We start from the raw sequence: 21,575 nt of genomic DNA on the forward strand, positions 1-21,575 counted from the left end.
TCTTGCCAGGGAACAGGTTTTAAAGAGTTTCTTCAGCAGCTCTCACTCCGATGTGGAACAGCCTCCTTTAATTAGCTGACAGATGGGGGTCTTCTGAGAAGTGTGGAAGGAACTGAGGAGTTTATTTAAAGGGTCCTTGGGAGGCTGAGGTGGGCAGATCACGAGGTCAGGAGTTCGAGACCAGCCTGCCCAACATGGTGAAACCCTGTTGCTACTACAAATACAAATACAAAAATTAGCCGAGTGTGGTGGTGTGCACCTGTAATCCCAGCTATAAAGGAGGCTGAGGCAGAAGAATTGCTTGAGCCTGGGAGGCTGGGAGCCAGGCTCCTGGGAGCCTGGAGGTTGCGGTGAGCTGAGATCAAGTCACTGCACTCCAGCCTGGGCAAAAGAGAGAGACTCTGTCTCAAAAAAGAAAAAAAAAAGGTGTCCAAGAAACCTGGGCAAAGAGCCTGAACTCCTCAGTGGAGGAGGCTCCTAGTGCAAGGAGTGGAAAATGAGGGACAGGGAGGGGAAGCATTGGTAGAAGGTGTACGGAACCTTCTTGGAGTTGAGCTTTGATCTTGAGGAAAACTGGCAGCTGGGTTCCACCAAACAACACACTCCAGCTATTGTTTCCTTGAACTTTGGCCTACATTAATGAAGAATCTGGGGCAAATTTTTCACAGGTTCTTCCACACTTTATTTTTAAATTTTTTGATAACTTTATTGAGATATAATTCACATACCGTACATACAATTCACCCATTAAAGTGTACAATTCACTGGTTTTTAGTACATTCACAGAGTTGTACAATCATCAGTACAATCAATTTTAGAACATTTTCACCACCTTAAAAAGAACCCACATATCCTTTAGCCATCATCCCCTCGCAATCTCCCCATTTCCCCAGCCCTAAGCAGCCGGTAAGCTACTTTCTGTCTCTACAAATTTCTCTATTCTAGACAATTTAGATAAATGGAATCATATCATATGTGGTCATTTGTGACTGGCTTTTTTCACTTAGCATAATGTCTACAAAATTTTTAATTATTGTGGATACATAATAGTTGTACATATTATGGGGTACATATGATATTTTGAAACTTAGTATAATGTTTTTAAGGTTTCTACATGTAGCATAGATGAGCACCTCATTCCTTTTTACTGACAAATATACTCCACTGGCTGCATATTCCATGTTTTGTTAATCCGTTCATCCAGTTGATTGACACTTGGATTGCTTCCACCTTTTGGCTGTTGTGAATAATGCTGCTACTTGTGCACTGGTTTTTGTGTGAATATGTTCATTTCTTTTGGGTATATACCTAGGAGTGGAATAAGTGGGTCAAATGACAACAAACACTATACTTGACTTCCTGAGAAATTGCCAGACTGTTTTCAGAAGTCTTCAGTTTTTTTTTTTTTTTTTATTAAGACAAACGGAAATCAATGGCTCTGAATTATCCTATAAGAGCTTAGTTACATACAGGTTGTTCAGGTCTAACTAAAGACTTAATGTAAGCAGGGTTTGGGAGATGCAAAGAATCAAGCTTGGTTTACAAAAATACCAAGCCCAAATACTTGATATTTTTATTGGCATAATTTTAAAGGTTGGGGTAGTGTTACATGGATTTGTGTTTATAACCAGAAAAAGAAACTCAGTTATAAATGTGGCCAACAACAACAACAAATGACTGTACAACAACCCTTAATTAGTAGCTTTGGAAAAGTTTTAGTCACCTTATAAAATGAGTAAAGCCTTTAAGATGATAAAATCATCCACGGATTTCAGTTATTTTTGCTATCATCTGTTTCTGCATGGGGAAAAAGGCTTTAAAAATTTTAAGAATAAAGTATTTGGAAATACTTTACAGTATTTAAGTATATAATATACACAGAGATGCACACAAATCATAACTGTAACTCCATGAATTTTCACAAAATGAACCTTACTCATGTAATTAGTACCCACATCAAGAAAGAAATAGTCACCAGCACCCCTTGAAACCCTCTTTCCAGTCATAATCATGTCCCTCCTCAAGGACCAGTGGATATCCTGACTTCTAACAGCAACATTCTTAGACACAAATAATACATTTTTTGTAGTAAGTTTCAGGTGTCAAGAACTGGCCAATGAAATAGATTTGTTTAGCTGAGAGAATTTCTTAAGACTCAGTCAGACTTACTATATTGCATGGTGTAATACATTGTTAAAAATTAAATACTGTTAAGCTTGTATATAAAATAGAGTATAACCTCAGCCCCAAGAAGCTTTTCATTTAACATCAGCAGCAATTTAAGAGCATATACTGTATGGCATTTTTAAAAACTGCATGAAGCCGGGCGCGGTGGCTCACGCCTGTAATCCCAGCACTTTGGGAGGCCGAGGCGGGCGGATCACGAGGTCAAGAGATCCAGACCATCCTGGCCAACATGGTGAAACCCCGTCTCTATTAAAAAATATAAAAATTAGCTGGGTGTGGTGGCGGGCACCTGTAGTCCCAGCTACTCTGGAGGCTGAGGCAGGAGAATCGCTTGAACCCGGGAGGCGGAGGTTGCAGTGAGCCGAGATCACGCCATTGCACTCCAGCCTGGGCAACAGAGCGAGACACCATCTCAAACAAAACAAAACAAAACAAAAAACCCCTGCATGAATCAACAGACTTTAAACACTTATTTTGAAAGACATTTCCCTTTTCCTCCAGAATTTGAATTTATTCATGGGAGCAGTCTGTAAAGGAAGTCCTAGGCACCATTAAAGACAAGTGCTTTAATAATTTAAGAAGTGTGCATGTAAACTTGGGCACATTGACAGTATATTACATTGGGTTAAAGTGTAACGACCAATATAAATCCAGCTTCCACAAGCAGAGCATAAAAACTGACACATACTTTTCTTGGTTTATTGGGTAGGAGGATGTTAAATACCTTATGGTAAGATAAGCTTTCTAATACTGGAACTGACTAACTGCAAAGAACACTGCTCTGGTTCTTATCAGGAAAAAAAGTCCATTATAATCATTTTAGGCACGAAACTTTCTACGCATTAGAATTCTTCCGAGGTGAAAAGTATATTATTAAGGGAATTCATTTTGCAAAGAGGAATCTTTTTTTTTTTTTTTTTTTTTTTTTTGCTCTAAAGATTTTTCATAAATTACCAGAGTAGTTTAGGATTTTATTAGGATATTTCCTCGGAAGTTTGGGGGTTCCGTGTTCTATCAGGTGATGCCTAATAGATGCCTGATATAGCTCATAAGTCAATGAGAGGACAGAGCGTTACACTTGCCATGCACTCCGGGCTGCCCCGGGTACTTTCTTTACGGATGCTGGATGCTTCCAAGGTAACCCAGTCCTTTCATTCCCGCTCCTACCGAGATGCCGGGAAAGCACTCCCGCGCCGATGCGAGGTAGGCACGTCCTGCGCCCTGTGAGCGGTAACTGCGCTCGGCGTCGTCCTTCCCGAAGTCCTTGGCTTACACCTCTTCCCATCGAGTCGCCCCAAAGCCCCTCCTCCAGGCATCCCCCTCCTTGGGCAAAAGTTTAAGGGCGGGCCCCCTTCTCACTAAAGCGCGCCAGGGCCTCTCTCGTGGCTGGACAGAGAAGGCTCCTCGCTCTTCTCTAGCCCCAGCTCGGCGGGTGGGGACAGACGCTGAGACTCTCGGTGGCCGGCGCTGACGTGTCCTGGCCGTGAGGTGCCTCCCACCTCGAGGGACTTACTTAAATATTTGGGGCAGGGCACCCTCCCAGGACCCCAGGAAGCCGGCGCAGGTTCGGCGGGGACCCTGAGGCTGTGGCGCACTTGCCCCGGCACAGCGCGAGCACGGAGTGCGCGTGGGTGAGAGTGAGGGTGCGCCCAGGGCCAGCGGGAGGCGGACCCGCCAGGCGGCAGGTGGGTGCGGCCGGCTGGAGCCAGGGCAGCGGCAGCGGCGGCAGCAAGTGGTTGGGCCGTGCGCATTTCCTTCCCTCCCCCTCGGCCTCGGAGCCCGTCTGCAGTGCCCAGTGTGCTGCGCCTTCGGCTCGGCTCCGCTCCGCGTCCTCTGCCCGCCGCAGCCGGCCGCACCCGGCCGCACCCTTCCCCGTCCGTCCATGTCCCTGCCCGTGGTGCTCCCGGGCTCCTGCTGCCCCGTGGCTGGGCTTTCGGGTGGGCCGCAGGCCGGGGGCCCGGGCGCCGCTGCCGCCGCCGCTCAGGAGCCGCCGCTGCCCCCGCTGCGGCCGCGCTGGCCCCGGGGCGCGCTGCAGCCCCCGTCGCGGCCTCGCTGCGCGGCCACCGCTGCTGCCGGGGTGCTGGCCGCGCCGCCGGCGCTCTCCTCCCGCCGGGCAGTCGCCGCCGCTGCCGCCGCGGCCCCGGGCTCCGCGCTGCTGCCCGCCCGCCCGCTGCTGTCACTTGGGCTGCTTCAGCTGATCTTGGGCTGCTGCATGGTGGCGCTCAGCTTCGGGGCGCTGTCGCTGAGCAGCTCCCCGCAGGTGAAGAACTCGTGCCCGTTCTGGGCCGGCTCCTCGGTGAGTACCGCGCGCGCGCCCCGTTCGCCCGGTCATCCCGGTGATAGGGGGCTCTGGTCGTTCCTCTCCATTGCCCCTTTGTTGGCCTCCAGGGCTGCAGTTGGGGGAGCCTCACGCCACCTGAAGTTTTTGGAGGCTGGAGAAAAATGTTCCGCGACGGTCGAGTTCAGGGGTGAATTGGGTTGCACCTGGGTAGTGTCTGTTGCGCGCAGGCTGAAGAATTTTATTTTCCCTGTCAAGCTAATAGAATTAAAGACACCCAGCTCTTTGGGAGATTGGAAGGACAGGGTGTGGGTGGCAGGAAAGTGGGAGGAAAATGATTAAACTTCTTTTGGTTATTGAGTATTTGCTGCACTGACAACGTCTGTGCTGGGAGGGCAGGGATTTTGATCATTTTTGTTCACTGATGTATCAAGAATGCCTGGCACATAGTAGGTGTATTTGTGAGATGGGACAGTTTGACTGGGGCACATCGCTTGTTTTATTCTGCATTAAGACACACGTAAATGTGAAATGTGTAGGGTGGCTCGACCCCCAGACGAGTTCAGGAGGTAATGAGGGGGTGTGTGTGAACTGGCGCTTGTACCTGGTCATTAAAGGAAGGCCTTAACCCCACTGGGTTCCTGGAGCCATGCAGGCTGCTGTGCAGAATTCAGTTTGTGAGAACCGGGACCTGTCATTATGGATGAGCTGGCCAAAAGTCCTGGAGTGCCCAGCAGCTAGCTAGAGATGTCTGCTCTACAGGACCCACTCCTCCCTCCTCCAACCGGGAACGCTGAGCCTGGGGCCAAAGAGTGCCCAACTTCAGAGAAAAGCTGCTGCCAGCCAGTATCTATGGACACCGGGTGGCCACTCCCCCCTGCCTCCTAACAATCTCACAATTTCCAAGGCATCCAACCCCTTGACGTTTTCTGGGTGTTGAGAGACTTGGAAACACATCTTTGTGGAATGACTATGGAAGATGAGCACAGTAAATAACCTCTCTTTATATCTTTTTTTTTTAATTTTTAATTTTTATTTTTAAGGGACAGAGTTTCCCCATGTTGCCCAGGCTGGTTTCCAACTCCTGAGCTCAAGCGATCCTCCTGCCTCGGCCTCCCAAAGTGTGGGGATTAGAGGCATGAGCCACCACAGCCGACCGTAAATAACCTTTCTATGAACTCACTGTGTAAATCTGAAAGTCTAGCAATGCTGCTAGGTTTTAGTAAGATGTATAATCAGTGTATGTCCTGAATGGTAAGAACGGCTTTTGCAGTTTCACACATACTGCAATTCAAGACCAAATTGAAAAAAAAAAAAAAGGACTCGAAGAACTAATTGAACCCAAAGTAATTGTTTGAATAAGAACATTAAGAACGTTAGGTTCCTTGAGACTCGCCTGAAATTGTATACTTCATCCAGTGTCAGTTTGCTTTCCTTTTGAAATACTTTCATGTTGAATGAACTTATTGGGGTACGTGCTGGACTGTGGTGAGTGAAAGCCATGATTTGTGCCTCATGAAAAAACGCCACCCTGGTGGCTCTGCCTGTGGGCTCTGCCACTGGCCTCTATGAGTGTTCAGGAAAACTACAGAAGGATGGATATTCCAGACAAGGTAGGAATTAGACCCGTTATGCCACCTATTCTGTTTGTCTGACTAAGTCCAGCCAAATGGTGGGTGCATTTCATTTCTCTAAATACCACGGGCCAGTAATGATCTTGCATATATTTTTAGGAATTTGCTCTTTATAAAATCATAATCTATTGTCTTCTCAAACATAGCTAGTTTAGGATTCTTAAAAACTATTTTTTGTCTTCTAAAATTAAAAGCTGAAATCAGTTTACTATTGTGAATCATTTCAGAGGTAAATGCACTTAGATATCGGTCAAGCCACAGTTGAATTTGATGAAGTACCAAAAGAAAAGAAAAGAAAAAAAAAGGCCTTCCACCAGAAGGTGAAGGTTAATACTCCTGGTCTGCTGGCTGGGTATGTCCTTGTCTCCAGGTCTGGGCACACCAGAGGAGAGAAAGAAATCAGTGATTTGGAACTGACAAGTTCTCTGCTATATGTCTTTCCCCATTCTTCCCCATACTCTCCAAACACAGGTCTATATGCAACTCTATAACTGTTGGCTATTCCTACTTTTTGTGACTTGTTCCTGAGATTGACCTCAGAATTTGCAAAGTGACAACAGAAGCAGTAGATACTGTATTTATAGAACAATTAAATACAAATTTAAGAGGATGGCTTTAGGCACCATGACTCTCTTGGTGCTTTAGGGGAAAAAAGCCTTGTATCACATGTTTTGAATTTATGCATGTGACAGAGGTTGTTTTTTAAAAACCTCGTGTTATGGAAAAGTTTACATTTATGCAGTATACGATGAACCCACATATACCTTTCACCCAGCTTCAACAATGGTTTCATCTGCACCCCCTTCCTGGGCTCTGCTGCTGGCCTTGTGTCTTCTGATAAACTTCAGAAGGATGAATATTCCAAGCAGGGTGGGAATTAGATCCTTCGTGCTCCCTAGTCCATTTGTGAGATTAAATTCTCTTATTGTTTGGAAGCAAATCTCAGGTGTCACATTTCATCTGTATATATTCCAATGTGTGTATTTTTATCACAAGAAAATATAACCAGCATAGGATTGAGTGGGCAGTCCGAAGAACCATTCCCTTCAATTTTAAATCTTTTATTATAAAAATTTAAAAACTCAACAAATGTAGAAAGAAGGGTGTAATGATCCCGCATTTTACCCTTCACCCAGTAGCTATCAACACATGGCCACTTTATACCTAACGCTGCTCCCCCTTCCTAACACCCCTGGATTATTTTAAGGCAAATTCCAGGTATCACAACTTCAGCCATTAGTATTTTAGTATGTACTTATAAAAGAAATGGGCTTGATAGGACATTGTAACTAATTCAAAGACAGCTAAACTAAGGTTTCTATAAAAAAAAAAGTTGGAAGATTATGAGTTGAGAACTGCAGAATTAAAAAAGAACACAGCTTTGACATATATTCACATGCCATACAACTTACCCATTTAGCATTTAAAGTGTACTGGTCAATGGTTTTTAGTAAATTCACAGTTGTGCAACTATCACCACAATTTTAGAAAATGTTTATCAACCCTAAAGTTTTGAGTAGTTACTCCTCATTCTCCACCACCCCCACCCCTAGCCACCCACTGATTAACCCACTTTCAGTCTCTGTAGATATGTCTGTTCTGGATATTTCATATACAAGGGATCATATAATATGTGGTCTTTTATGATTGGTTTCTTTCACTTAGCATGTTTTCAAGCTTCATCCATGCTGCGGCAAGTCTCAGTACTTCATTCCTATTTTATTGTATGGATATGCCATGTTTATTTATTCACTCACAAGTTTTATTGGCATATGAAGCTAGGTAGTTGAATGGAAGTGCCAACTTATGTCTAAGGTTACTTCAAACCCACATAGGAACACAGTAGAAGAATATCCTCATATTTCAAGCTTTGACCATTAGGATCTTTAGCCTGCTATATCAACTGAACCCACACATCTTCTTTAGGCTTCACTGAAAATTTTGCTTGTGTATTTGATACAAAATTAGGTTCAAGAGACAAATATATTTATTTGAAATGACTATTTGTTGAACACAGTATAGTTCAAGGATATTTTTTCATATGTATTTCCTTAAGAGAGCCCTGAGCCTGAGATTTTGGAGGCTTCTTTCACTTGTTTGAACTTTGAAGGTATATTTTATCTATTTTAAAAAACACTTAAGAATTAACAAATTCTATAAAGCATCTTTTTTCATAGTTTTCATTCATACTTTCAGCAACTTGAAGGGAGAGTTTTTAACGTAGTCTGTGTTTTTGAGCACTCTGAGCATTTGATTTCTTCCTGGTATCACCGGTAAATCACTCAATATATTATTATTCCCAAAATTCGTGAAGCTAAGAGATGAGCCATCTTGAAAAACAACCTGGCATTTGACTGGAGGTGAGTGGCTAAGGGAGGATCTCAGTGTCTGTCTTCAGCTGTGCTGTCCTAGCTCTCGGTTTGGGGGGTGCGTTTAGTGTTAACTAGATTCCACTGGGGTGTGGGAGTTAACGAGATTCCACTGGGGTATGGGCGTTAATGTTAACTAGATTCCACTGGGGTATGGGAGTTAACTAGGTTCCACTGGGTTTAATTAGATTCCACTGGGGTATGGGAGTTAACTAGGTTCCACTGGGTTTAATTAGATTCCACTGGGGTATGGGAGTTAATGTTAACTAGATTCCACTGGGGTATGGGAGTTAACTAGGTTCCACTGGGTTTAATTAGATTCCACTGGGGTATGGGAGTTAATGTTAACTAGATTCCACTGGGGTATGGGAGTTAACTAGGTTCCACTGGGTTTAATTAGATTCCACTGGGGTATGGGAGTTAATGTTAACTAGATTCCACTGGGTAAGGGAGTTAGCTAGGTTCCACTGGGGTTAAGTAGATTCCACTGGGGTATGGGAGACTCAGTCGGCCACACTGCACTAGATTTAATGAAAGAGGAGAGAGAGTTGCATTGGGTTGTCTCTCCTCCTTCAGAAACAAAATTCCTACCTTTGATGACATGCATGATCCTTGGGAGATATTTCAGATGAGTGGTAGAGAATTGGTTGTTGTTTTTTACTCCTCTCTGAGTGCCCTATTATTCTTTATCAGTTGTATACATCTATGTCTGTGCTTTAAGTCACTGATCTAAATTCATGATCATCCTTTGAGTCCATGATTCTTTGGCAAGGTTCTACTTTCACGTAAAGAGACAGACATTGGTGAACTTTAGGGTGAACCTTTGTAAAAAAAATCGCAGTGAATAAACATAAAGAAAAATCAATGGACTAAACGAAAAACTAACATAAAGATTATGGTTACTACCAGTTAAATGATAGTAAATATTTTTTATCATACTAATCAAATACTACTTTAATATTTAAGGGATATTTAAACTATAATTTTGGGGATGAGTTTTATTGATTTCTTTGGTCCTTTATTTTGCATATCAGCAGAGTCACCTTTATAAGTTCTGTGCCTCTTGGCCTCAGTTACTCATCTGTCAAATGGGTGGGATGCTTCTTCTTCTTCAGTGCTGATTTTGTCAGGGTGTAGCTAGAGTATACATAGGAGAGTGCATCACTGCTGGACCCAAGCACCAGACCTGGAATACACGGGAACCTGTATCAATGGTTTTTAAATACCGAGGTAATAGTTAATCAAAGTAAAATGAACAGGCCAGTATTTTTGTAGGACATTATAGTTACCATCATGTTTTCATTAGAAATATTCAGTTGCCCACTTTCTCAATTTGTTTTTTTTAATGAGCTGTGCTAGACAGATAGGGAAGAAATACACACACATACACACACATTTTTTAAAAAGTTGCCATTGTAAGAGCTATAGGGCAGGGTAGGTTGTTGAGAAGTTTGACATATTATTTTCTGCTTATTTACAAAGTAACACAGGACATTTACAACATGGCTTTTTAAAAATCTCTGTGTTTACATACAGCAGCTTTTGATAAATGATTCAGAACATTTTTGCCCTAATACAAGTTAATGGATTAGCAAAGGGAAATAGGGCAGTAGAATTATAAGCTTCTGATCTTAACGATTTGGTTTTTACGTTGGAAAATGAAAGCACATTAACCATTTATGGTGGGTAACAATGACTCTTCCCTGGGGTATCTCAGAGCCCTTCTTTGCAGTCTCAGAAAAAAGGAAAGCCCTCTGCTTTTTCCTGTAAGCTACAAGAAATAGGTTATCAGTGAGTGAAACAAAAATTGTAATACCTCTCATAATAATATAGAGATTGTTTGGTGTTAGAAAATAGGTTCTTACCTGTTCATTCAGGGCAAGTTTCATCTTGCGCTGGATGGAAAGAATGCTGATGGAGTTGCTTTTTGTTGCTGCTGTACTCTTTTAGGAAGCACAGGGGATGAAAAGTGTGTTTAGTCTTACATAGTCATCTTTGAGCAATGTCATCTCCTGTTTCTGGCCTCCATTCATTCATTCACTCATTGACTCTTGCCATAACTAACTGAGTGCCTTCTGGGAACCTTTAGTGGTGTGTGAGTGAGTACGCACAGGTCCAAGCCCTCATCGTGATACAGTTAAACATTTGATAGCATTGTGGCATAATGGGAGCCATGGAAGGACATTGTTAAGGGACCTTCTTGGCTCATTTCTGATGGAGCTCCAGCTACTGCTGCCACCAAGGGAGGTGGAGGCATTGAATACTCTGTCTCCTTCTCTTCTTCTTTTCCCAACCCCTTTCCCCGTCTGTGAATTCTGCCTCCCTTTCAGATGAAATGGAAGCATCATTCCTTAAGTCTTGAGCTCTTAAAAAATTTATCCCCAACTGTAGCACCTCTGTTCCCATTACCATTCGAGAGGCTTCTAACCATCCAGGCCTACTTCCTCTATTTGCTTTTCTCCCCATCACCACTCACAGGGTTCCCCAAGTGCCTCAGGGCTTCACTGGGCTTGAAGAGAGGGAGAAGTTGAATAAAAGTAGGTGTGTGCCTTTGTTGCGGGGTTCAGGAATGAAGAGCTGCAACTATAGCTCCCGCCTGGAGCTGGAATATAGTTTCTTAAAACATTGTAAAGAGCGGTGGCTTACAAGAATCCTGGTGGGATTTAACTTGAATATGTGCTGAGTCTGTAAAACAATTTAAATGGAAATGACATTCTTAGTTTGTCTTCAATCCATAGACTTGGTATATGCCTTGACTGACTTGGCTATTCATTTAATATTGCGCAATAAACTTTGTATTTCTCCCCAGTGAGGCCTTAAAGATCTTTGTCATATACATTTTGAGATTATTGATGTTTCTCATTTGTCATGTATTTGTACATATATACATTTTGTACATATTTTTTAACTTACATTTTCTATAGTTTGTTGCTACCATATGCAAACAAAATACCTCCCCTCCAAAGGAAGAAATAAAGATAGCTTAGTTCTTTGGTTTCAGAGACACCTCATTTGAAATGACAGTTGACTCTGTCATGATCTATTAAAATAAAAAGAATAGAAATACCTTTCAACTTAGAAACTTCACTCCTGGGACTTTTTTCCGCTGAAATAAAAGCACTTGTTTTTAAAGATATATGTTCATAGATGTTTACTGCAGCATTGTTTGTGACAGCAAAAAACTAGACATAGAATGAATGCCCATTAATATGGAAATGATTGAATACGTTAAGTACAGCCACACGATGGAATGTTATGTAGTCACTAAAGTAAAATGAATTAGAGCTGTTCCAATGCACATGAAGAGATTTCTATGAAGTATTTATTGAGAGAGAAAAGGAAGAGGCAGGGAAAGTATATCTTTTATGATTTTTTTACAAAAATTACATCCCTGTGAGTGTGTATATATACACATAGACATGTGTGTGTAGTAAGAATTTAGAGAAAAATACATATATATGTAAAATATGTAAACGTGCTAGATTGTTAACATGGAGGAGGGTGGGGTGATGTGGCTGTGTAGGTGAGGGGGGCAGAACAGTTTAGGCATATTGCTATTTTATGGGCTTTTATGGCTGGGGCTGGACACTTCCTTTTAATAATATTATTATTTTTTTTTTGAGATGGACTCTGTCACCCAGGCTGGAGTGCAGTGGTGTGATCTTGGCTCACTGCACCCTCTACCTCCTGGGTTCAAGTGATTCTCCTGCCTCAGCCTCCCAAGCAGCTGGGATTATAGGTGTGTGCCACCAAACCCAGCTAATTTTTGTACTTTTAGTAGAGACAGGGTCTCACCGTGTTGGCCAGGCTGGTCTCAAACTCCTGACCTCAAGTATTCCGCCTGCCTTGGCCTCCCAAAGTGCTGGGATTACAGGTGTGAGCCACTGCGCCTGGCCAATAATATTGTTTTAATAGAAAAAATACATTCCAAAAAGCTGAACCGCAGGGTTCTCTATTAATGGAGACCAGTAGCATTAATGTCAAACGCTAACTAATAATTCAAATCATATTTTTTACTGAATTGGGAGATTTGTGTTTTCCTTAAGGGCAGTTGAATATGAAGTTATGTTTTCACAAGAACAGCTTGAATTTCCTCAGCTAAGTCCAGTAGGCACCGGAGTGGGCAGGTGGGATGCACATGCACAGAGGGATACACACATGCACACACATGTGCACACACATGCAAGCACATGCATACACACATACATGCACAAGCATACGTGCCTACACCCTGAGTCACAGATTTCTGAGGAATCACTGTCATCACTATAAGGTAAGTCTTTTGAGCTAGAAGAGACCAAGAGATGGTTTCCTTCCCTTACAGCATTTCTAAAGAAATAAGTGAGGACCAGACAAGTGAAATGACTTGGCCAAGGTCTCATAGTTAAGTCTTTAGAAGCTGAGTGGGAGCCTGGAACCCAGGACCTCATGGATTGCAGTCCCAATTTGTAAAGTAGGTACAACTCACACACTGTGAGTCACACACGCCCTGCCCTGTGTCTTCAGGCAGAAATTGTTTAGGGTAAGGAAATATCCTATTGGATTTAAAGGGATTGCAAGGTTAAAGTGCCTGGTGGGCAGGCAGCTAGTAGTACCTTTAAACATAGATGGCACACAAAGAAATTGTCACCTATCTGCCTGTATATGGTTTTTGATCCTTGATATAAGTGGGTAGACTTGTCCTATGCTGGTCTGATGCTGCAGAATGATTACTCTCAGCTAGTGAGAATGGAGAATATTGCAAGCAGGCCTGTGGGTTTTGAATTTGAAGGGACACTGTCAAGTCCTTACTGATCTGTAGTTGATAAACACTGATTGTGAAATGGTGCATTTGAGCAATTTGAACAAGTATAATGTGCTTGTAGAGGAAAACCTTCATGGCTGCCTTTGGCAGACACACTTTATTTTACAAAGCTCAGAGTGCTCAAATGGCATCAGCACATCCCAGGCTGAAAAATTACTTTGATTATCATTTCCCAATTGTTTATCAAACTGTGTTATCCAAAGGGCTGACCTTGGTTTCCAGTTTATGTTTTGGCAAAATAGTGGCCCTTTCCTTTCCTTTTCTTTTTTTTTTTTTTTTTTTGAGACAGAGTCTCATTCTATCGCCCAGGCTGGAGTGCAGTGGCGCGATCTCAGCTCACTGCAACCTCTGCCTCCTGGGTTCAGGCGACTCTTGTGCCTCAGCCTCCCAAGTAGCGTCACCATGCCCAGCTAATTTTTTGTATTTTAGTGGAGATGGGGTTTCACCATGTTGTCCAGGCTGGTCTCAAAGTCCTGGGCTCAGGCAGTCCACCTGCCTCGGCCTCCCAAAGTGCTGGGAGTAACAGGAGTGAGCCACCGCGCCCAGCCTGTTTTTTCTTATTGAGATTTTTTAGCTCGTTTTTTATTGAAGTGTCATTTTGCAACATGAGCTCCTTCTCACAGTAGTTCCTCCCACTTTGTGGAATAAATGCTCTAGAACATATATTAATTGCCAACAATTGGGGCACAATGCTGGGAACTAGGACTTTAGAGAGACAAGACAGGAGTTCACAGTTAGTAGGTAATTCAGAGACACATCCCTCAATTATTACAATAGAGTTTTTGGAAAAAAAGAAATGTGTGCAGAGGGCTTCCATGAGTGTGGAGCGGTGGAATCAGTGAGGGCTTCTCAGGGCAGGTGACTGCTAAATGGGGCCTTGCAGGATGGATAAAAGTTCTCAGGCAGCTAGGAGGGAAGCTGGGAGGACACAGCACTTCAGCAAAGAGAAAGAAGCAAATAGCCCAGGGATGTCAGGAGCCTGGTTGGCCTGAGGGAGGGCAGGTACTTGGTAGGAAGGTATGTGGTGGAGGGGCCAGGGTATGTAAAAACCAGGCTTGAGAGCAGGTAAGAGAAGATCTTGAAGGGCCTTGTTTCCCATTTCGAAGACTTTACCTGTCCCATAATGGATGGGTACCTGACGAAGGGAAGGATGCCACCAGACATGCATCTGATGAGGCTGACCCTGGCAACAGATTGGGTGATGCTAGGAACAGGGAGCTTGACTGAGAAATAGTGATTCCTCACTCACCAGAAGGAGAGGCTAATTTCTGATTGTGTGTTCTTAATTGACATTAAGAGAAAACAGGCCAGGTGTGGTGACATGCGCCTGTAGTCCTGACGTGCGCCTGTAGTCCTAGCTACTGGAGAGGCAGAGGCGGGAGGATCACCAGAGCCCAGAAAGTCAAGGCTGCAGTGAGGCATGATCGTGCTATTGCACTGCAGCCTGGGTGGCAGAGCAAAGCCCTGTCTTTAAAAACAAAACAAAATTAAACAAAGTCAATAAAAAAGCTTTGAGGGCCTAGAAGTAAAAGTCCAAAGTGGTCTACCAGAGTGAACCCTGTAATCCAGGAGGAATATTAAATGTTTGATTTAGAATGCTTTGAAATTTCAGTATCTTTAAAAATATGTACTTTTGTGACTGAGGATTTGTTTATTGGAATTGGTCCATTTTCTATATTTATGATAGTTTATCCTTACAGGTGATACTCTCTGGAATCATAGGATTAACAACTTGGAAAAGGCCTATGATACTCCTGGTATGTACTGATCTTATAAATTGCTACCCTTTATAAAATGTGCTATGTATGAAGTCTGTTCATATAAACCACTGAAGAAATGCTTAAGCTTCCTTGTTCATTAAAAAAATAAGTTAACAATAGATAATATTAGAAGTCAGATGATCATAACCAGTAAGTAAGATAATAATTTTGCTGGTTTTCTGGTTCACTTTAAGCTCCTTAAGTACCCAGTGCTATACAAGTGTCTTTAGTTCTAGCATTAAACCCATCCTAAAGATAGAATTTTAAAAAAACTACTTACTATGGGCAGTTTTAAATATATACAATAGTGGAGGGAATAATAATGAACTCCCTGTACCCATCGCCCAGGTTCCATAATGATGAACTTCCAGCCAATCTTTACAGCTATACTCCCACTCATTTCCTCTCATATTCTTTTTTCTCTATATTCTTTTTATTTATTATTGTTATTATTTTTGAGATGGAGTCTCGCACTGTTGCCCAGGCTGGAGTGCAGTGGTGTGATCTCAGCTCACTGTAACCTTTGCCTCCCGGGTTCAAGCAATCCTCCCAAGTAGCTGGGATTACAGGCGCCCGCCACTGCGCCCAGCTAATTTCTTGTATTTTTAGTAGAGACGGGGTTTCACTATGTTGGTCAGGCTGGTCTCAAACTCCTGACCTCGTGATCCTCCCGCCTTGGCCTCCCAAAGTGCTGAGATTACAGGCGTCAGCCACCAAGCCCGGCTGTTATTCCTTTTTTTTTTTTTTTTTTTTTTTTTTTTTGATACAGTCTCACCCTGTCGCCCAGGCTGGAGTGCAGTGGCACGTTCTCAGCTTACCGCAACCTCTGCCTCCCAGGTTTAAGCAATTGTCATGCCTCAGCCTCCTGAGTAGCTGAGATTACAGGTGTGCACCAACACGCCTGGCTAATTTTTGTATTTTTAGTAGAGATGGGGTTTCACCATGTTGGCCAGGCTAGTCCCAAACCTCAAGTGATCCGCCTGCCTTGGCCTCCCAGAGTGTTGAGATTATAGGCATGAGCCACCGCGCCTGGACTCCTCTATATTCTTTTGAAGCAGATCTCATGTATTAATCATGAATATATGACTTTTTATTGTTATAATGTTTGAGTTGAACAACCTTAGAATTTTGTTGCATAGATTTGCTATATTATCTCTTTGTCACATAAATATTATATTCTCTTGGAAATAATATAGACATATACTGGTGATTTTATCTTTTTTTGTTATTGAGGTAAAATTTATATAGCAAAATGAATCATTTTAAAGTATACAATTCAGTGGTATTTTTAGAACATTTCCAATGTTCATCCTTTGTTTTTATTTGCTATGTCATTTTGATTCAGCGACTGTAAACTTATCATTCACAGTTTTAAATGATAAGTTTAAACTTATCAGTTACAGTTTTAAACTTACCATTTGAAGTGGATCAAAATAGACAATGCTAATGGAGTTTCCAACTTTTAATGATAAAATAGAGGGTCTAGGAAATTAGATTTGAATTGTGGTATACTTAAATTTTTTTTCTCTATAATATCTCTTATTTTTATTTGTCTCATCCATCTTGAAATGGAGTTAAATAATTTTCTAAAGTCATTTTGTATATATGCTTAATAGTTCATCTGAAACAGATTGTTGTTTGCTAGGCAACGGGCAATCAATACAAAACTCCTTAAATTTTTAAATACATAGAGAAGAAGCATATTGCGGAATCTTTGTGTGTCAGAATAACTAATGGATCCCAATACTGTATTGATGGTCTTGAAAAACTAACCTGAAGTGTTTTTAGGCCCACAAGATGACATAGGCAACATTTTACAACTCCATCAATGATTGTATTTCATGAAATTCCTTTAATAATTTTGGAAAGAATAAATTTTTAGCATACCATTTTAATAAACAGCAGGATGAGAGAAATTGAAACTTTGGATGAGTTGTATAGCCTGTGTTATAAGTGGCTGAAACTTGTTTCACAATGACTCTCTAGGTTTATGGTCTCTATGAAAAATTTTGGTTGGTGTTTATACGAATATTTGGTAACAGGAATCTCCTTTGCACTGTCTTTTTCCATTGAGTCAATACTAAATTACTCAGTAATACAAATCTCCAGTATTTAAATTGAATTAAAAGAAGAAAATCTTCAATGGTATTTGTACTTTGAAAATTCCAAATGATGAAAAGAGTATAAGTGTGTTAAGAATAGATTCAAGAAAGTATACCTATTATGACATTTATTTATTTGACCTTGTTGTCTTTTAAAAAGCTACCTCACATATTTATTATGTAAGCTTGAGCAGCCTTAAATGAAAATGGCCCTGTCTTATTACATTCTTATCCATTTATTTCTCATCTTTGTTAAGTATATGCACTTTGTCACAAAGTTGTAACCAGTGTGTACATACTATGTCATGTACTGCTTTTTCTGTTTAATATAAAATTAAGCTATTATCAGGTTTCCATGTATGAGGAGTCTACATGCTTATCATTTAAAACTGTAAGTAGGCTGCTGCCTTATTTCTGTATCATCATCAATTTTTACCCTATTGTTGGACATTTGAGCTTCTGTATTTTGGCTGCTATGAGTTATGTACTTAGAAGGTCGCATAGAGATTGTCTTGAAATGTTAATTAGCATCAATTTATAAAGAAGATAAATTAATTTGTAGGGATTCTACAAGGGAAAACTTTGTATCTATTAATAATTGGAGACTTAGTCAGTATCATAAATGAGAAATCCGCAGTTCATATGTATCTTTTGTTTTTTTTTGAGAGAGGGTCTTTCTCTGTTGCCCAGGCTGGAGTGTGGTGGCGTGATCACTGCTCATTGCAGCCTCAAACTCCTGGGCTCAAGGGATCCTCCCAGCTTAGTCTCCTGAGTAGCTGGGACTACAGGCGTGTGCCACCACACCCAGCTAATATTTAAATTTTTTGCAGAGATGGGAGTCTCGCAACATTACCCAGGCTTGTCTCGAACTCCTGGGCTCAAGTGATCTTCCCACCTCAGCTTCCCAAAGTTCTGGGATTACAGGTATGAGCCACTATGCCTGGCTCATATGAATCTTAGTAGTATACCATTATAACTCATGCCAGATGCTTGTGTTATGTCACAAAAGGGAAAAATGCCAGTCAGATATTCCTAGCCCATCTTTTTAAGAGTAGCATCCCTGTGTGCAAGCCACTGAACTCTTCTGAGCCTAGTTTTCTTTTTGGCACAGAGGGGATAATTTAGTGATACCAAGGGAAGCTCTACCCTGCCCCTCCCTTAATGGATATTTTTTCTCCATTTTCCCCCTCAAGCCCCTCTGCCTCAGTTTCCCGAGTTTAAGGAATGTGCCATTGCATGCTTTTTAGTGGGAGGCCATGCTCCATTAGGAGCCAGAGGACCCCATGGGTCTGTGTTCTTGCAGGCCTGGGCTTGGCTGATTAGAGTTCTGTCCCCTTCCCCTTCTCATCCATGCTGTAGGCTCAGGGGCACCTTCTGACTTGGGACTTTCACCCCCTAGCTGGTTGTTTGGCTGGCCGCCTCTTCTTCTGGCTCTCAGCTCAGCAGTCACTTCCTGCCAGAGGCCTTTCCTGACCACTCTGATTGCTGTGGCTCCTGCCTTGCCCCTAGCCATATCCCAGCACTGAATTACTGGCTTTGTGGTCTGTGATTAGCCTATGTACCTTACATTTGTTGCCTCTCCCCAGACTACAGTCAGTTCCCCGAGAACAAGAGTCTTGCCTTTTTCACTCTCTTTCTGTAGGGCCAATGTGCTCAATACACATTAGTTGTTGACTGTGGAGTTAATTTGACAGCCAGTAAGAAATTTAGGTCCTGGGTGAACTCTCAAAATTTCTTTTACTTTTGTCTCAAATTTCTCTCACTTGCTTTTGTTCTCCAAAACCTTGTATTCATCCCCTTTGAACTTCAAAGTTGTCAGGGAGTATTTTGGTGGTGGAGGTTGGGAGGGGAAGGATGCTCTTTTTCAGGGCCCTTTGAAAGGCAGGCTGTCCTCGTTTTTAGTTGTTCACATGAGTCTAGAACACATGGATATTCCCTTTTGAGAACCATTTACATTTGGGCTTCCTCTTTTGTGGTTGTTACCTTGATGACATCAGGTTTTTTACTGGTTTGAACAAAAAAGGGTCACTGTGACCTAGTTCCTTCAAACTCAAGTTTTCACGGAAATTCAGGGTTGGAAAGCCTTCATTTACTGGGTCATGTTTCTTATACTAACATACTCATGTGTTCAGAACAAAAATGATAATATTGGAAAATAGTTGGTAAATATTTGTAGCTATTTATGGCTATGACTAAGAATAAGCTAGGAAGTATGTGTGCATGCATGTGTGTGTGTGCATGTGTGTGTGCATGTGTGTGTGCGTGCATGTGTGTGTGCATGTGTGTGTGTGCGTGTGTGTGTGCATGCATGTGTGTGTGTATGTGTGTGTGTATGTGTGTGTGCATGCATGTGTGTGTGTATGTGTGTGTGTTTGTGTGTGTGCGTGCATGTGTGTGTGTGTATGTGTGTGTGCATGTGTGTGTGCATGTGTGTGTGTATGTGTGTGTGTGTGTAGTATTCTAGGTTGTGTGTTTTCCATAAAGAGCTAACATTTTCCATTTTTAAAGAATGTTTTTATTTCTTCTAGACATCATTCCTCTTTCATTCTAAGAAAATGTTCTGTAAGTGTTTACAAATGATGGACAATGCTAGAAACAGCCTCAAAGATTGTCTGGTCTAGGCACCTCAGTTAGAAAACAGAACAGTCTTAATAAGATTTTAAAAAAATTTTTCTTTGGTGGTACAGGCATTTTTGGTGGCAGGTATTTTTCCTTGGTAGTACATTTAGTAAGAAGTGCTACTGTGAAAACCCAGCTAGCTCTATGCCTGTATTTTGGGTTCCTTATGAAGTGGTGATGTGAGTTTTGTTATTTTTTTTTCTTGTCAATTAGATGGGATAAGTATGACCTAAAAATGATAAAGGGACAGCTCCATATTCTTTAGCATCAACAATGAAGGTTCTTCCCCAGAGATGTTCTTGGATCACATGTGGCTTATTCCCAACTGTGGCTCCTGTTGATTTGCACCCCAGACCAAGAATAGACAAGGGTAAATGTATTGGCTATTTAAAAAATGGTCTTTCAGTTTATTTTCTAACCTCAAGATTATAGTATTTAGGATAAAACCTCATTACCTGAAGAGACTACAAAATGGCTTAAGATATGCTTAATTTTTTTTTTTTCCTCTAAGAGTCCATATAGGCTAGGTTGGTAAGATAATTCTGCTCACAAAGCCATTTGGGGAGCTAGGAATTTTTCATCTTATTGTGTCTTGGATGGAGAGTCATAGAATACTTAGACACTTTGTCAAAAGTCAGAAATAGTTTTAGGTGGATTATGCTGTGAGATAGATTGTGGTCTTTTTTTTCCTGAGGATATGGAGAGCTGGAGTGGTCAGAATACCCAGGTGCAGTTTAGGAATCCATGCATTTACAAAATGAGCTGTGAAGCTCTCTGGCTTTGGCAGTTGAGTTCTTTCAAGTACATTTCAATAAATTGAAATGAACCCTTGTTTGATGGTTCACAAAACCTGGATTTTAATGCTGACACGTTACCACTAATTGTCAGGTGACCTTGGGGAAATCTCTTGACCCAAAAGTCAAGAGATTTTCCCAAGGTCTAAACCAATAAGTGGCTTAGATCAGAATAATATTTTAAGATTCCTTCCAGCTCTCATATTATAGATTTCCAGAGTCCTCTTTAGTTACCTCGATGGTGTTTTAATTTCAGATGGACATTTCAACTGGTCATTATAAGCTCCCTGTATATAAACTGAAATACTATGATTATTTCACTCTGTTTATTAAGGCGCAAAATGGAAGACTTTTCTTACTCTTCAGAATTGTTAGTAATACATTCTTGCATGTATATAATGCTTAAGAATTTTCCAGGTTCTTTCATATACCTTTTCTCCTGGCAGATATTATTCCTTTTATGTAGATAAGAGAATATTAGTTCAGGAGTTAATTGGCTTGTCCAGTTCACAATGAGTTGAATGATTGTTAGAAAGAACCCAGGGATTTGGGCTCCTAGTTCATTGCTTCTTCCATTGTAACATTTTACCACCTCCTCCATTAGCCAATCGGTAGCCATCTCACTGTGGCCAACAGTGGCTTTTTTGTGGTGTAGAATATAAATTAAATAAGCTGTTATCTTGTTTGTGAATGTCCAATTCTTTTTCAAGATCTGAAGTGGCAAATGTTTTGGGAATTTTATCTTTCACTCAAAAGAGCCAGAGGCAGAAATGACCAAGGTAACACAAGGTGTAGTTTTGAGTCTCAGTCCTATCAATTTCAATCAATGAGTGGCCAAGGAAATGATCTAATTTGTACGCTCATCTGTACAAATGGGATTTAAGGCTGTGTAAACACATTATGAATTATTTTTTAATCATTCGTTGATAAAATCTCCAAGAGAAGATTTGGCCTCTCAATTTGATGTGTCATTATGTAACAACCCATGGTAGAAAAATGTGCACTTAGGTATTGTGAAGGCAGCTTAG

The 21,575-nt window shown here is 41.6% G+C and overlaps 1 protein-coding gene across 9 annotated transcripts in view; it reads left to right on the forward strand.

The window, feature by feature from the left end:
* ENTREP1 (endosomal transmembrane epsin interactor 1) overlaps positions 3,327–21,575 on the forward strand; it is a 67,890-nt gene continuing 49,641 nt past the window's right edge. For 4 of the 9 annotated variants that reach the window (NM_001347995.2, XM_047424086.1, XM_047424087.1 and 1 more), the window contains exons 1-2: positions 3,975–4,483; positions 14,973–15,029. In NM_001347995.2, coding sequence (NP_001334924.1) covers positions 4,070–4,483; positions 14,973–15,029 — 471 coding nt within the window. In that variant the 5' untranslated portion in view covers positions 3,975–4,069. Of the gene's footprint in view, positions 3,391–3,974; positions 4,484–8,084; positions 8,460–12,340; positions 12,922–14,972; positions 15,030–21,575 lie in introns of those variants that run through there. The other 5 variants (NM_001127608.3, NR_170669.1, NM_004816.5 and 2 more) reach the window with 5 other exon arrangements.

This window comes from Homo sapiens, chromosome 9 (genome assembly GCF_000001405.40).
Source record: "Homo sapiens chromosome 9, GRCh38.p14 Primary Assembly".
Taxonomy (NCBI): Eukaryota; Metazoa; Chordata; class Mammalia; order Primates; family Hominidae; genus Homo; species Homo sapiens.